Source organism: Homo sapiens, chromosome 1, assembly GCF_000001405.40.
Source record: "Homo sapiens chromosome 1, GRCh38.p14 Primary Assembly".
Classification (NCBI taxonomy): domain Eukaryota; kingdom Metazoa; phylum Chordata; class Mammalia; order Primates; family Hominidae; genus Homo; species Homo sapiens.
The window spans coordinates 235,377,107-235,394,699 of NC_000001.11; the positions used below are offsets into that span (position 1 = coordinate 235,377,107).

Genomic DNA, 17,593 nt, shown 5'->3' on the forward strand with positions numbered 1-17,593 from the left:
TTATTTAAATAGACAAAATTCAGCTCCATTTTGAAAGTAGGATTCTTTTCACAACAATTGGGAAAAATGATTTTTTTTGTTTTGTTTTTTGTGAGATGGAATTTTGCTCTGTCGCCAGGCTGGAGTGCAGTGGCACGATCTTGGCTCACTGCAACCTCTGCCTCCCGCATTCAAGTGATTCTCCTGCCTCAGATGGCCAAGTAGCTGGGACTACAGGCGCGCACTACATGCCCAACTAATTTTTTTGTATTTTTAGTAGAGACAGGGTTTTACCCTGTTGGCTGGGATGGTATCGATCTCTTGACCTTGTGATCTGCCTGCCTTGGCCTCCCAAAATGCTGGGATTGCAGGCGTGAGCCACCGCGCCCAGCCTAATGTTATTGTTTTTACAAAATATTTGAGGAGCTGATTGAGAGGACCTTATGCAGAAACTTAATAAACTTAAAATCATATAATGTGAGATTGAAATGCTTAGATTATTCTGTAATATGGAAATAGCAGGTCTAATGTAACAGACAACTCCAGTAACAGAGGAAATGTCTACCTATTCTTTTTTTTTTTTTGAGATGGGGTCTTGCTCTGTCACCCAGGCAGAAGTACAATGGCTCGATCTCGGCTCATTGCAACCTCTGCCTCCCGGGTTCAAGCGATTCTCCTGCCTCAGCCTCCTGAGTAGCTGGGATTACAGGCATCGCGCCACCACGCCTGGCTAGTTTTTGTATTTTTAGTAGAGACGGGGTTTCACCATGGTGGTCAGGCTGGTCTCGAACTCCTGACCTTGTGATCCACCCGCCTCGGCCTCTCAAAGTGCTGGGATTACAGACATGAGCCACCACTCCCCTTCCATCTACCTGTTCTTAAAATAAAAAAAACCCATAAAGGTGGAGAGGTAATAATAACAAAGGCCTCAGATATCTATATACCAATGGAGTTTGTGGGTAGTCAGTAATGTATTCTAACCCCAGATGGCATGTAACAGCATATGTTTTTTCTTTTGTTTTGTACACATATTATATATGATAATATTAAAATAGAAAAATACTTTGTTCAATAGTTATGTAACTTGTCGTTTAAAAATCCTTGTACTTCAACACTGTTATCTTTTATTTGTGTTTTTTTGTTTGTTTGTTTTGAGACAGGCTCTAGCTCTGTTGCCTAGGCTGGAGCAGAGTGGCATGATCTTGGCTTACTGCAGCCTCAGTCTTCTGGGCTCACATGATCCTCCCACTTCAGCTTCCCAAGTAGCTGGGACTACAGGCGTGTGCCACAATGCCTGGCTAATTTTTGTATTTTTTTTTGGTAGAGATAAGTTTCACTATGTTGCCCAGGCTGGTCTCGAATTCCTGGCCTCAGGTGATCTGCCTGCCTTGGCCTCCCAAAGCGCTGAGATTACAGGCATGAGCAACCGTGCCCAGCCAACACTGCTAGCTTTTTAAAACAGAAAGTGAGTTTTATTTAGGCCGGCCGCGGTGGCTGATGCTTGTAATTCCAGCATTTTGGGAGACTGAGGTGAGTGGATCACTTGAGGTCAGGAGTTCAAGACCAGCCTGGCCAACATGGTGAAACACCATCTCTACTAAAAATTCAAAAATTAGCTGGGTATGGTGGCGTGTGCGTGGTGGCGTGTGCCTGTAATCCCAGTTACTAGGGAGGCTGTGGCAGGAGAATTGCTTGAACCCAGCAGGCAGAGGTTGCAGTTAGCAGAGATCGTGCCACTGCACTCCAGCCTGGGCAACAGAGCGAGACTCTGTCTCAAGAAAAGAAAAAAAGAAAGTGAGTTTTATTTAGACAAAGATGAAGGTTTGGAAATTAACCATATTTGTGCTTGCAAAAGGGGCACGGATTTTTAAGCCCTAGTCTCACAGGCTCTCTCTGCAGCATCTGATACTGTTGCTTGATTATTCCTGCTTTAAACTCTGTCCCTTGGATTCCAAGGCATCAGGTAGCTGCTCTTCTTTTTTCTTTTCTGTTTTTTCTTTCTCCGACTTCTTAGGGATTTCTTCTTTCTTAACTATTATGTTTTTGCAGGATTCTGTCATTGATCCCCTTTTCTTTCTAGCTGATACCCTTTCATTCTCATCTACTTTCATGCTATCAGTTATAAGCTCTGTGCTGACAACCCCTAAAAACATGTTTCTAGGCCGGGCGCAGTGGCTCATGCCTGTAATCCCAGCACTTTGGGAGGCAGAGGAGGGTGGATCACCTGAGATCAGAAGTTTGAGACCAGTCTGGCCAACATGGTGAAACCCCGTCTATACTAAAAATACAAAACAATTAAACAGCATGGTGGTGGGTGCTGTAATCCCAGCTACTTGGGAGGCTGAGGCAGGGGAATTGCTTGAACCAGGGAGGTGGAGGTTGCAGTGAGCCGAGATCGTGCCACAGCACTCCAGCCTGGGCAACAGAGTGAGACACCATCTTAAAAAACAACAACAAGAACAAAAAAAACACATTTCTAGCGCAAATGTATCGTTTGAGCTAGAGACCCACATCCGTCATCACCCTCTATAGGCACTTTAAGTATACTGACTTCTCTCCCAAACTTGAACCTTCTCTTATAGGCCAGGCGCGGTGGCTCACACCTGTAATTTTACCACTTTGGGAGACTGAGGTTGGTGGATTGCTGGAGCTCAGGAGTTGGAGACCAGCCTGGGCAATGTAGCAAAACCCCTTCTCTACTGAAAATACAAAAATTGGCTGGGTGTGGTGAAGCACATCTGTGGACCCGGTTACTCTGGTGGCTGAGGCACAAGAACCCTTGAGCCTGGAAGGTGGGGGTTGCAGTGAGCCGAGATTGCGCCACTGCACTCCAGCCTGGGCGACAGAGCAAGACTGTGCCTCAAAAAAAAAAAAAAAAATTCCTTTAAAGGAATTGTATTAAGTTCTTATCAGTGTTGTATTTTTCTTCCTAGATCTCATATTTTGGATTCTGGATATATTATAATGAGTGACACTTTGACAGCGGATGTCATTGGTCGAAGAGTTGAAGTTAATGGAGAACATGCAACAGTACGTTTTGCTGGTGTTGTCCCTCCCGTGGCAGGTAAGCAATTATTGTGTGTGTGTGTGTGTGTGTGTGTGTGTGTGTGTGTGTGTGTGTGTGTGTGTATTTTGCAGCTGTTTCTGTGTAAGCTTCTCAGTAGCACTTTATACCACAAATTTTGACGAAATTAACAACTAATTTATAGGTGCCTCCTGTATCCAGTTTTATCTGAGTGACAGTATCCTGTGGTATCTATGATTTTGTTTAATTATATGCCATTTAATTATTTAGTGTTGCTATCTTATATAAAATCAACCTTAAAATATCTTCTGAGGAAACTATAAACAGCTAAAAGTCTTGAAACCTCATAAACCTCAACTCAAGTAATTTTTTTGAAATTTCTTTTGTCATTAATCCACGTGTGTAGGTATCTAATATAGTTTAAACTGATACACATTACAATTTTTGTTACCTTTTTTTTAAACTTATTTTTTGGTATAAATTTACCTATGTTTCTACAGCATTATTTTGCAATATTTCTTCTTTTTTTGATTTTGCGTATTTCTTAATTATTACATTTAGTATAATATATAGTTTGTTTAATTGTTCCCCATTTTTGGATGTTAATTTCTAGTTTTTAGAGTAAATAATAATGTAGTAGACTTACTCATAAGTCTTAGTCAACAAAAATTTGACTGTTTTCTGTGTATTTTGAGACAGAGTTTCGCTCTTGTTATTCAGGCTGGAGTGTAGTGGTGCGATGTTGGCTCACCGCAACCTCTGCCTCCTGGGTTCAAGCGATTCTCCTGCCTCAGTCTCTCGAGTAGCTGGGATTTCAGGCATGTGCCACCACACCCGACTAATTTTGAATTTTTAGGGGAGACAGGGTTTCTCCATGTTGGTCAGGCTGGTCTCGAACTCCTGAGGTGTTCTGCCTGCCTCGGCCTCCCAAAGTGCTGGGATTACAGGTGTGAGCCACCGTGCCTGGCCAATAAGGAGGCTTTCTATGAACTGGGCAACTGCTGGAACCAAGCTGATATGGGTTTACTAGCTGATTGCAATGTGCCCAGAATTAGAATATTTATCCATATTTTTACATTACCCATCCCTCTTGTTTCTTCTGAGCTGCAGCCAGAGATCACCAGTTGGTTCACAGGAATAAGCAGGGTTAGCCTAAATTGAAGAAACAAACTTAAAAACAACTAATGAGACTAGAATCTAATGACAAATGCCCCATAGTTCTTGAAACATAATTTTTCTCTCTAGTTTCCAAGTTTTACTAAAGACAAGTCATGGTAAGACTGATTTGCTTGGGCCGGGCACGGTGGCTCACACCTGTATTCCCAGCACTTTGAGAGGCCAAGGCGGGCGGATCACAAGGTCATGAGATTGAGACCATCCTGGCTAACACGGTGAAACCCCATCTCCAGTAAAAATCCAAAAAATTAGCCGGATGTGGTGGCGGGCACCTGTAGTTCCAGCTACTAAGGGAGACTGAGGCAGGAGAATGGCATGAACCTGGGAGGTGGAGGTTGCAGTGAGCCGAGACCACGCCACTGCACCCCAGCCTGGGCGACAGAGCGAGACTCCTTCTCCAAAAAAAAAAAAAAAAAAAAAAAAAAAGACTGATTTGCTTTATTGTAATTGGCCTGATTATTTGTATAAAGTGCAGCAAGAATAATTATTTTTCTTTTTTTTCTTTTTTTAATTTTTTAATTGTATTTTTATTTTATTATTATTATACTTTAAGTTTTAGGGTACATGTGCACAATGTGCAGGTTAGTTACATATGTATACATGTGCCATGCTGGTGTGCTGCACCCATTAACTCGTCATTTAGCATTAGGTATATCTCCTAATGCTATCCCTCCCCCCTCCCCCCACCCCACAACAGTCCTCAGAGTGTGATGTTCACCTTCCTGTGTCCATGTGTTCTCATTGTTCAGTTCCCACCTATGAGTGAGAACATGCAGTGTTTGGTTTTTTGTCCTTGTGATAGTTTACTGAGAATGATGATTTCCAATTTCATCCATGTCCCTATAAAGGACATGAACTCATCATTTTTTATGGCTGCATAGTATTCCATGGTGTATATGTGCCACATTTTCTTAATCCAGTCTATCATTGTTGGACATTTGGGTTGGTTCCAAGTCTTTGCTATTGTGAATAGTGTCACAATAAACATACGTGTGCATGTGTCTTTATAGCAGCATGATTTGTAGTCCTTTGGGTATATACCCAGTAATGGGATGGCTGGGTCAAATGGTATTTCTAGTTCTAGATCCCCAAGGAATCGCCACACTGACTTCCACAATGGTTGAACTAGTTGACAGTCCCACCAACAGTGTAAAAGTGTTCCTATTTCTCCACATCCTCTCCAGCACCTGTTGTTTCCTGACTTTTTAATGATTGCCATTCTAACTGATGTGAGATGGTATCTCATTGAGGTTTTGATTTGCATTTCTCTGATGGCCAGTGATGGTGAGCATTTTTTCATGTGTTTTTTGGCTGCATAAATGTCTTCTTTTGAGAAGTGTCTGTTCATGTCCTTCGCCCACTTTTTGATGGGGCTGTTTGTTTTTTTCTTGTAAATTTGTTTGAGTTCATTGTAGATTCTGGATATTAGCCCTTTGTCAGATGAGTAGGTTGCGAAAATTTTCTCCCATTTTGTAGGTTGCCTGTTCACTCTGATGGTAGTTTCTTTTGCTGTGCAGAAGCTCTTTAGTTTAATTAGATCCCATTTGTCAATTTTGGCTTTTGTTGCCATTGCTTTTGGTGTTTTAGACATGAAGTCCTGGCCCATGCCTATGTCCTGAATGGTATTGCCTAGGTTTTCTTCTAGGGTTTTTATGGTTTTAGGTCTAACGTTTAAGTCTTTAATCCATCTTGAATTAATTTTTGTATAAGGTGTAAGGAAGGGATCCAGTTTCAGCTTTCTACATATGGCTAGCCAGTTTTCCCAGCACCATTTATTAAATAGGGAATCCTTTCCCCATTGCTTGTTTTTCTCAGGTTTGTCAAAGATCAGATAGTTGTAGATATGCGGCGTTATTTCTGAGGGCTCTGTTCTGTTCCATTGATCTATATCTCTGTTTTGGTACCAGTACCATGCTGTTTTGGTTACTGTAGCCTTGTAGTATAGTTTGAAGTCAGGTAGTGTGATGCCTCCAGCTTTGTTCTTTTGGCTTAGGATTGACATGGCGATGCGGGCTCTTTTTTGGTTCTATATGAACTTTAAAGTAGTTTTTTCCAATTCTGTGAAGAAAGTCATTGGTAGCTTGATGGGGATGGCATTGAATCTGTAAATTACCTTAGGCAGTATGGCCATTTTCACGATATTAATTCTTCCTACCCATGAGCATGGAATGTTCTTCCATTTGTTTGTATCCTCTTTTATTTCATTGAGCAGTGGTTTGTAGTTCTCCTTGAAGAGGTCCTTCATGTCCCTTGTAAGTTGGATTCCTAGGTATTTTATTCTCTTTGAAGCAATTGTGAATGGGATTTCACTCATGATTTGGCTCTCTGTTTGTCTGTTATTGGTGTATAAGAATGCTTGTGATTTTTGTACATTGATTTTGTAACCTGAGACTTTGCTGAAGTTGCTTATCAGCTTAAGGAGATTTTGGGCTGAGACAGTGGGGTTTTCTAGATATACAATCATGTCATCTGCAAATAGGGATAATTTGACTTCCTCTTTTCCTAATTGAATACCCTTTGTTTCCTTCTCCTGCCTAATTGCCCTGGCCAGAACTTCCAACACTATGTTGAATAGGAGTGGTGAGAGAGGGCATCCCTGTCTTGTGCCAGTTTTCAAAGGGAATGCTTCCAGTTTTTGTCCATTCAGTATGATATTGGCTGTGGGTTTATCATAGATAGCTCTTATTATTTTGAGATATGTCCCATCAATACCTAATTTATTGAGAGTTTTTAGCATGAAGGTTGTTGAATTTTGTCAAAGGCCTTTTCTGCATCTATTGAGATAATCATGTGGTTTTTGTCTTTGGTTCTGTTTATATGCTGGATTACATTTATTGATTTGCATATATTGAACCAGCCTTGCATCCCAGGGATGAAGCCCACTTGATCATGGTGGATAAGCTTTTTGATGTGCTGCTGGATTCGGTTTGCCAGTATTTTATTGAGGATTTTTGCATCAATGTTCATCAAGGATATTGGTCTAAAATTCTCTTTTTTGGTTGTGTCTCTGCCTGGCTTTGGTATCAGGATGATGCTGGCCTCATAAAATGAGTTAGGGAGGATTCCCTCTTTTTCTATTGATTGGAATAGTTTCAGAAGGAATGGTACCTGTTCCTCCTTGTACCTCTGGTAGAATTCGGCTGTGAATCCATCTGGTCCTGGACTCTTTTTGGTTGGTAAGCTATTGATTATTGCCACAATTTCAGAGCCTGTTATTGGTCTATTCAGAGATTCAACTTCTTCCTGGTTTAGTCTTGGGAGGGTGTATGTGTCGAGGAATTTATCCATTTCTTCTAGATTTTCTAGTTTATTTGCGTAGAGGTGTTTGTAGTATTCTCTGATGGTAGTTTGTATTTCTGTGGGATCGGTGGTGATATCCCCTTTATCATTTTTTATTGCGTCTATTTGATTCTTCTCTCTTTTCTTTTTATTAGTCTTGCTAGCGGTCTATCAATTTTGTTGATCCTTTCAAAAAACCAGCTCCTGGATTCATTAGATTTTTGAAGGGTTTTTTGTGTCTCTATTTCCTTCAGTTCTGCTCTGATTTTAGTTATTTCTTGCCTTCTGCTAGCTTTTGAATGTGTTTGCTCTTGCTTTTCTAGTTCTTTTAATTGTGATGTTAGGGTGTCAATTTTGGATCTTTCCTGCTTTCTCTTGTGGGCATTTAGTGCTATAAATTTCCCTCTACACACTGCTTTGAATGTTGTCCCAGAGATTCTGGTATGTTGTGTCTTTGTTCTCGTTGGTTTCAAAGAACATCTTTATTTCTGTCTTCATTTCATTATGTACCCAGTAGTCATTCAGGAGCAGGTTGTTCAGTTTCCATGTAGTTGAGCGGTTTTGAGTGAGTTTCTTAATCCTGAATTCTAGTTTGATTGCACTGTGGTCTGAGAGACAGTTTGTTATAATGTCTGATCTTTTACATTTGCTGAGGAGAGCTTTACTTCCAACTATGTGGTCAATTTTGGAATAGGTGTGGTGTGGTGCTGAAAAAAATGTATATTCTGTTGATTTGGGGTGGAGAGTTCTGTAGATGTCTATTACGTCCGCTTGGTGCAGAGCTGAGTTCAATTCCTGGCTATCCTTGTTAACTTTCTGTCTCGTTGATCTGTCTAATGTTGACAGTGGGGTGTTAAAGTCTCCCATTATCATTGTGTGGGAGTCTAAGTCTCTTTGTAGGTCACTGAGGACTTGCTTTATGAATCTGGGTGCTCCTGTATTGGGTGCATATATATTTAGGATAGTTAGCTCTTCTTGTTGAATTGATCCCTTTATCATTATGTAATGGCCTTCTTTGTGTCTTTTGATCTTTGTTGGTTTAAAGTCTGTTTTATCAGAGACTAGGATTGCAACCCCTGCCTTTTTTTGTTTTCCATTTGCTTGGTAGATCTTCCTCTATCTTTTTATTTTGGGCCTGTGTGTGTCTCTGCCTGTGAGATGGGTTTCCTGAATACAGCACACTGATGGGTCTTGACTCTTTATCCAATTTGCCAGTCTGTGTCTTTTAATTGGAGCATTTAGTCCATTTACATTTAAAGTTAATATTGTTATGTGTGAATTTCATCCTGTCATTATGATGTTAGCTGTTTATTTTGCTCGTTAGTTGATGCAGTTTCTTCCAGCCTTGATGGTCTTTACAATTTGGCATGATTTTGCAGTGGCTGGTACCAGTTGTTCCTTTCCATGTTTAGTGCTTCCTTCAGGAGCTCTTTTAGGGCAGGCCTGGTGGTGACAAAATCTCTCAGTATTTGCTTGTCTGTAAAGTATTTTATTTCTCCTTCACTTATGAAGCTTAGTTTGGCTGGATATGAAATTCTGGGTTGAAAATTCTTTTCTTTAAGAATGTTGAATATTGGCTCCCACTCTCTTCTGGCTTGTAGAGTTTCTGCCAAGAGATCCGCTGTTAGTCTGATGGGCTTCCCTTTGTCTCTGGCTGCCCTTAACATTTTTTCCTTCATTTCAACTTTGGTGAATCTGACAATTATGTGTCTTGGAGTTGCTCTTCTCGAGGAGTATCTTTGTGGCATTCTCTGTATTTTCTGAATCTGATTGTTGGCTTGCCTTGCTAGATTGGGGAAGTTCTCCTGGATAATATCCTGCAGAGTGTTTTCCAACTTGGTTCCATTCTCCCCGTCACTTTCAGGTACACCAATCAGACGTAGATTTGGTTTTTTCACATAGTCCCATATTTCTTGGAGGCTTTGTTCATTTCTTTTTATTCTTTTTTCTCTAAACTTCCCTTCTCGCTTCATTTCATTCATTTCATCTTCCATCACTGATACCCTTTCTTCCAGTTGATTGCATCAGCTCCTGAGGCTTCTGCATTCTTCACGTAGTTCTTGAGCCTTGGCTTTCAGCTCCATCAGCTCCTTTAAGCACTTCTCTGTATTGGTTATTCTAGTTATACATTCGTCTAAATTTTTTTCAAAGTTTTTAACTTCTTTGCCTTTGGTTTGAATTTCCTCCTGTAGCTCGGAGTAGTTTGATCGTCTGAAGCCTTCTTCTCTCAATTTGTCAAAGTCATTCTCTGTCCAGCTTTGTTCCGTTGCTGGTGAGGAGCTGTGTTCCTTTGGAGGAGGAGAGGCGCTCTGCTTTTTAGAGTTTCCAGTTTTTCTGCTCTGTTTTTTCCCCATCTTTGTGGTTTTATCTACTTTTGGTCTTTGATGATGGTGATGTACAGATGGGTTTTTGGTGTGGATGTCCTTCCTGTTTGTTAGTTTTCCTTCTAACAGACAGGACCCTCAGCTGCAGGTCTGTTGGAGTTTGCTAGAGGTCCACTCCAGACCGTTTGCCTGGGTATCAGCAGCAGTGGCTGCAGAACAGCGGATTTTCGTGAACCGCGAATGCTGCTGTCTGATCGTTCCTCTGGAAGTTTTGTCTCAGAGGAGTACCCGGCCGTGTGAGGTGTCAGTCTGCCCCTGCTGGGGGTGCCTCCCAGTTAGGCTGCTCAGGGGTCAGGGGTCAGGGACCCACTTGAGGAGGCAGTCTGCCTGTTCTCAGATCTCCAGCTGCATGCTGGGAGAACCACTGCTCTCTTCAAAGCTGTCAGACGGGGACATTTAAGTCTGCAGAGGTTACTGCTGCCTTTTTGTTTGTCTGTGCCCTGCCCCCAGAGGTGGAGCCTACAGAGGCAGGCAGGCCTCCTTGAGATGTGGTGGGCTCCACCCAGTTCGAGCTTCCCGGCTGCTTTGTTTACCTAAGCAAGCCTGGGCAATGGTGGGCACCCCTCCCCCAGCCGCGCTGCTGCCTTGCAGTTTGATCTCAGACTGCTGTGCTAGCAATCAGTGAGACTCCGTAGGTGTAGGACCCTCCGAGCCAGGTGCGGGATATAATCTCCTGGTGTGCCGTTTTTTAAGCTCATCAGAAAAGTGCAGTATTAGGGTGGGAGTGACCCGATTTTCCAGGTGCCATCTGTCACCCCTTTCTTTGACTAGCAAAGGGAACTCCCTGACCCCTTGCGCTTCCCAAATGAGGGAAAGATGTTACAGGAAATGGTCTCAATCCAGACCCCAAAAGAGGGTTCTTGGATCTCGTGCAAGAAAGAATTCAGGGCCAGTCTGTAAAGTGAAAACAAGTTTATTAGGAAAGTAAAGGAATAAAAGAATGGCTACTCCATAGACAGAGCAGCCCCTCCAGGGGATTCTGATGCACAATAAGGTTTGGTGAAAGCCATTGAACAAGATACATGTGGACTCTGCCTTCATGGAGGCTGTGGAAGTCTTTAACATATACCTAATCTGTCAAGGGTTTTTACTTTCCTGGTATTATTTGTAAATGGGAAGAGAAAGTAATGTTTAATGAATAATTACTGTGTACCAGACACTTGAAAGCATGCTCTCAACTTTGAATATTCCAATAACAACCTTAAAATATAGATGTTACTATTCCTATGTTTATAGACAAGAAGACCAAGTCTCAGGTCTTAAAACTTTTATATAGCAGAGCTGGGATTTGAATCTATCCTTCATTGCCCATGCCCTTTCTTCTCTGTTACTTCTTTTTTTTTTTTTTTTTTTTTTGAGATGGAGTCTCACTTTTGTTGCCCAGGCTGGAGTGCAATGGCATGATCTTGGCTCACTGCAACCTCCGCCTCCCAGGTTCAAGTGATTCTCCTGCCTCAGCCTCCCGAGTAGCTGGGATTACGGGGACCCACCACCACACCCAGCTAATTTTTGTATTTTTAGTAGAGGCAGGGTTTCACCATGTTGGCCAGGCTGGTCTCGAACTCCTGACCTTAGGTGATCTGCCTGCCCAAGCCTCCCAAAGTGCTGGGATTACGGGCATGAGCCACTGCACCTGGCTCTACTCTGTTACTTCTAAGGAATGTGAATATTCTCAGGTTCTTGACATATGTTGCCAAATTGTTGTCTGCAAGTCAGTCAATGTCCGGTACTTGGAAATTTCCAATATTCACATTCTCTGGGAAGCAGACTTAGCTAGAGATTTACACTTAGAAAGTTTAGTGTTCAGAAAGTTTTTTAGGGAGTACTTTGGGACCAGTACTCATGGAAGAGGAAAGAGAGTAAGCAAGGTTGGGCAGAGGGCTAAGCTGGGCTATGGTACAGCCTCAACAAATATTTCAGCTGTCTCCTTTGGGTGCTCTGAAGATAGAGTGGCCTTTCAGAGTCTTTCCTAGTGGAGATGAGGGGCTGGGTCATTATACATTAGTGATGATCTGTCACTAGGTTCTGTTGACCCTAGGAAGGGGGTGTGCCCTTGGGCAAGATGCTTTCTACAGTAGACAGTTCCATAAGAGGGCAGACAGTTGAGGGCTATTTACCAAAAGCCAGTCCTCCCAGCTATTGGGAGATAAGTCCCAATTCTTGAAGACAGGGTGGCATATCACTAGTACAGTAATATAGATAAAAGTTTTTTAATGATAGTTTAGCAAACGTGAAGTTTTTAATTTATTTAAATTTTATTTATTAAATTGCCTGTGAATGTGACACTTTCTTCATGCATGTTTTATCAGGTAAGTGCTTCTTTCTCCCTTGAAAATTGTAATTCTGCAGAGAGGGAGCTACTGTAAATTTAAGCTTTTTGTTTGTTTGTTTGTTTGAGGTTGAGTTTCGTTCTTGTTGCCTAGGCTGGAGTGCAATGGCACAATCTCGGCTCATTGTAACCTCTGCCTCCTGGGTTCAAGTGATTCTCCTGCCTCAGCCTCCCGAGTAGCTGGGACTACAGGCACCTGCCACCACACACAGCTAATTTTTGCATGGTTTTTTTGGTAGAAACGGGGTTTCACCATGTTGGCCAGGCTGGTCTCAAACACCTGACCTCATAATCTGCCCATCTCTACCTCCCAAAGTGCTGGGATTACAGGTGTGAGCCACCACGCCTGGCCTGCATTTAGTTTAGAGGTCATCTTTTGGAATTGGTACTAAGATGCACAGAAATTGAACACAGATTTAGTAATAATTTCTGCGGTTACTTCACTGGATGTTGTAGAGCTGTTATGACAACTAAATCAGTTAGATGTTTAAAGCACTTAGACCAGTTAATCGTGCATATTGTTGTAAATAAACATTTTAAAACTTACTTTAAAAAGAAATGCAGACTGGGCGTGGTGGCTCATGCCTGTAATCCCAGCACTTCAGGAAGCCAAGGCTGTAGATCACTTGAAGTCAGGAGTTTGAGACCAGCCTGACCAACATGTTGAAACCCTGTCTCTACTAAAAATACAAAAAAAATTAGCTGGGTTTTGTGGTGCGCTCCTGTAGCCCCAGCTACTTGGGAGGCTGAGACAGCAGAATCGCTTGAACACGGGAGGAAGAGGTTGCAGTGAGACGAAATGGCATCACTCCATTCCAGCCTGGGTGACAGAGTAAGACTGTCTCAAAAAAAAAAAGAAAAAGAAAAAGAAATGCAATTGTACTAATGTTCTGCAAATGGCTTCTTGTAATTGGAGATATTATTTCCTGTGATAGCATCATACAAAGATTTAAAAAGTATTACATCTTAAACTGTTCAGATGGAATAAAGATGATATACTGTGGTGGGCAGGATAATAGCCTCCCAAAGATGTCCCCAGAACCTCTGATTTTGCTAGGTTACATGGCAAAGGGGAATTAGAATTATAGATGGAATTAAGGTTGCTAATCAGCTGATTTTAAGATTGGGAGAGTATCCGGTTTATCCAGTTGGGCTCAGTGTAATCACAAGAATCATTAGAAGTAGAAGCTAGGCTAGACGCAGTGGCTCACACCTGTAGTCCCAGCACTTTGGGAGGCCAAGTCGGATGGATCACCTGAGGTCAGGAGTTCAAGACCAGCCTGACCAACATGGTGAAACCCTGTCTCTACTAAAAATACAAAAAATACAAAAATTAGTCAGATGTGGTGGTGCATGCCAATAATCCGAGCTACTTGGGAGGCTGAGGCAGGAGAATCGCTTGAACCTGGGAGACGGAGGTTGCAGTGAGCTGAGATCGTGCCATTGCACTCCAGCCTGGGTGACAAGAGCGAAACGTCTCAAAAAAAAAAAAAAAAAAAAGTAGAAGCTAGAGGCAGAAGAGGCAGTGTCAGTGTGACGTGAGAATGTTTCAGCTGGCCATTGTTTATTCTGAAGATGGAAGAGGGTCATGAGCTAAGGAGTGTGCAGCCTCTAAGCCTCTAGAAGCTGGAAAAACTTTCCTCATATGATAAGGAAGCTATCATGTAAAGGTTCATCTTACATTTCTTGCTGTTTTCTTTCTTTCTTTTGCTGGCAAATATCATTCAGGGGCCACAGTATGGGCTGCAGCGGTGTTCATTGCTACTGGGTTGGTCTTCGTTTCTGGGCCTTTTTAAAGGACAGAGCTGCCTCTGTTGGATTAATTCCTACAAGTAGAATAGATTTAAGGAAGATATGAGTAGTTTTTATATTATTATTAGAAAATACAAAAAAGAAAAGGTTTCAAAAATATAGAAAGTAGAGAGAATAAGCCAGGCGTGGTGGCTCACGCCTGTAATCCCAACACTTTGGGAGGCAGGTGGATCACTTGGTCAAGAGTTCGAGACCAGCCTGGGCAACATGGCGAAACCCTGTCTCTACTAACAGTACAAAAAAAATTAGCTGGGTGTGGTAGTGGGTGCCTGTAATCCCAGCTACTTGTGAGGCTGAGGCAAGATAATTGCTTAAACCTGGGACGTGGAGGTTGCAGTGAGCCGAGATTGCACCACTGCACCCCAGCCTGGGCCACAAAGACTCCATCTCAAAAAAAAAAAAGCGTAGACAAAGAAAGTAGAGAGAATAGTATAATGGACACCTGTATATGCTTGTCATGTCAGTTTAACAATTGTTAACATGTTACCATACCATATTTGCTTCATTTCCTTTTTTTTTTTTTTTTTTTTTTTTGAGATGGAGTCTTACTCTGTCACCCAGGCTGGAGTGCAGTGGTACGATCTCTGCTCACTGCAACCACTGCTTCCCAGGTTCAAGCGGTTCTCCTCCCTCAGCCTCCCAAGTAGCTGGGATTACAGACTTGCACCACTATGCCCAGCTAATTTTTATATTTTTAGTAGAGATGGGGTTTTCCCGTGTTGGCCAGGCTGGTCTTGAACACCTGACCTGAGGTGATCAACCCACCTCACCCTCTCAAAGCGCTGGGATTACAGATGTGAGCCACTGCACTCGGCCCATCTCTTATTTTTTGCTTAAGCATTTTAAATTATATACGGAGTAGCATTTCATTCCTAAATACTTTACATTGTAATTCTAAAAAAAAAATACGTTTTCTTACAAAACTGTACAGTTTAAATTGTGATTCATAGGTTGGGTATGGTGGCTCATGCCTGTAATTGCAGCACTTTGGGAGGCTGAAGAGGGAGGATTGCTTGAGCTCAGGAGTTTGAGACCAGCCTAGGTAACGTAACAAGATCCCTGTCTCTAGCAAAAATAAATAAATAAATAAATAAGTACATAAATAAAAAATAAAATCAGCCAGGCATGGTGGCATGTGCCTGTAGCCCCAGCTACTTGGGAAGCTGAAATGGGAGGATTGCTTGAGCCCAGGAAGTTGAGCCTGCAGTGAACCGTGATCGTGCCACTGCACTCCAGGCTGGGTGACAGAGCAAGTCTCTGTTTCAGAAAAAAGAAAGTTGTGATTCATATTGTCAAATTGCTGAACAGAATTTTTTTTTTTTTTTTTTTTTTTTTTTTAGACAGAGTCTCGCTCTTGTTGCCCAGGCTGGAGTGCAGTGGTGGGATCTTGGCTCACTGCAACCTCCGCCTCCTGGATTCAAGCAATTCTCCTGCCTTAGCCTGCCGAGTAGCTAGGATTACAGGCACCCCCCTCCATGCCCAGCTAATTTTTGTATTATTGGTAGAGATGGGGTTTCACTGTGTTGGCCAGGCTGATCTCGAACTGCTGACCTCAGGTGATCCGCCCACCTCAGCCTCCCAAAGTGCTGGGATTACATGCCTGAGCCACCACGCCTGGCCCAGAATTGTTTTAAATCAGTAAATCCAGATTATTGAAAAACTTGATTCTATTTCACATCTTGGTTTAATTCTTTAGTCCAAAGTGGTGTCCATTCTTTAAGATTTTAAGATGGGGTAGTCACATGCTCTTTTAATCTGCTGTCTTTTAACAAAATTATTTGCCAGGCATGGTGACTCAGGCCTGTAGTCCCAGCTACTGGGAGGCTGAGGTGGGAGGATTGCTTGAGCCCATAAGTTCATGGCTGCAATGAGCTATAATCCAGCCTGGGCAACAGAGTGAGATGCTGTCTCTAAAAAAATTAATAAAAAAAAATTCTGCTTTAGCTTTTTTCTTGATTAATTTTAGACATGAGTTTCTTAGCTTCCCATATAGAGAAAAATCTAATTTTTATCCCACCATTTCCTGTGGTTACACTTTGTTTTTCACCAAAATGAAATGTTTGTTTATAAAGACTTCTGTAGCATTTATTTACCTACTATTGGCTTTTCACATTATTTATATACTGAGTTATAATGCTAGAGATATTTTAAAAAATAGTATTTAATGGTCGGGCGTGGTGGCTCACGCCTGTAATCCCAGCACTTTGGGAGGCCGAGGTGGGTGGATCACAAGGTCAGGAGATCGAGACCTTCCTGGCTAACACGGTGAAACCCTGTCTCTACTAAAAATACAAACAATTAGCCTGGTGTGGTGGCACGTGCCTGTAATCCCAGCTACTTGGGAGGCTGAGGCAGGAGAATCGCTTGAACCCAGGAGGTGGAGGTTGCGGTGAGCCGAGATGGCGCCACTGCACTCCAGCCTGGGTGACAGAGTGAGACTGTCTAAAAAAAATAGTATTTATTGATTATATCTTATTATTGTTGTTTTATTGCTGTTCTTGTTCCAGAGTTTTAAATGTTTTTTTTTCATTTACTGTATTGAAATATATTGAAATAATAATACCTGGAGAATAGAGTTGACACAGGTAGTCTGGTAGCAAATCTCTTCATAAAGTATGTACAGCAGTGATGTTCTTTTAGCAGTTGTATACACCTTTCAGAAGAATCATGCTTTTATCCTCCTACAGAGCAAATAGATATATATGTATTTTAATATGGTAATGACATGATATGTTTTCATGTTCTGGGAGTGGATGAAGGAAACAGCTAAGCTTACTGACTGTTGCCTAGGGGAACATCTAAAGATTGTATCAAACCAAAGTTCCTGCCTTTGACAGACACACCGTGGTATTTAGGTGAAAATTGTAGTGTAATTAAGTAGGTAATTAAGTTATTTATTTCATTTAGTGATTTCAGGGTGCATATTGTAGTTTACTTATTACTAGGATGCAGCCCTACTTAAAATTTGTAACAAATTTTATTTTATTTTTATTTATTTTTTTGAGACGGAGTCTCGCTCTGTCGCTCAGGCTGGAGTGCAGTGGTGCAATCTCAGCTCATTGCAAGCTCTGCCCGCTGGGTTCACGCCATTCTCCTGCCTCAGCCTCCCGAGTAGCTGGAAATACAGGCGCCCACCACTACGCCCAGCTACTTTTTTGTATATTTAGTAGAGACGGGGTTTCACCGTGTTAGCCAGGATAGTCTCGATCTCCTGACCTCGTGATCCACCTGCCTCGGCCTCCCAAAATGCTGGGATTACAGGCGTGAGCCACCATGCCTGGCCTGTAATGAATTTTATTATAGACATTTGATAATTTTTGATAATTTCTTTTTTTTTTTTTTTTTTTTTTTTTGAGACAGGTTGTCACTCTGTTGCCCAGGCTGGAGTTCAGTAGTGCTATCATAGCTCACTGTAACTATAGCTTCTGCACCTGGGCTGAAGTGATTCTCTCACCTTAGCCTCCCAAGTTGCTGGGACTACAGATGTGCACCACCATGCCCAGCTAATTTTTTGTATTTTTTAGAGAGCGGGTTTTGCCAGGCTGGTGTTTAGCACCTGGGCTCAAGCAATCTGCCTGCCTAGGCCTCCCAAAGTGCTGGGATTACAGG

General features: G+C 42.1%; 1 protein-coding gene across 4 annotated transcripts in view; it reads left to right on the forward strand.

Moving 5' to 3' along the window:
- TBCE (tubulin folding cofactor E) overlaps window positions 1-17,593 on the forward strand; it is an 85,017-nt gene that overhangs the window by 9,680 nt on the left and 57,744 nt on the right. For all 4 annotated transcript variants that reach the window (NM_001079515.3, NM_001287801.2, NM_003193.5 and 1 more), the window contains exon 2: window positions 2,913-3,043. In NM_001079515.3, coding sequence (NP_001072983.1) covers window positions 2,944-3,043 — 100 coding nt within the window. In that variant the 5' untranslated portion in view covers window positions 2,913-2,943. The remainder of the gene's footprint in view (window positions 1-2,912; window positions 3,044-17,593) is intronic.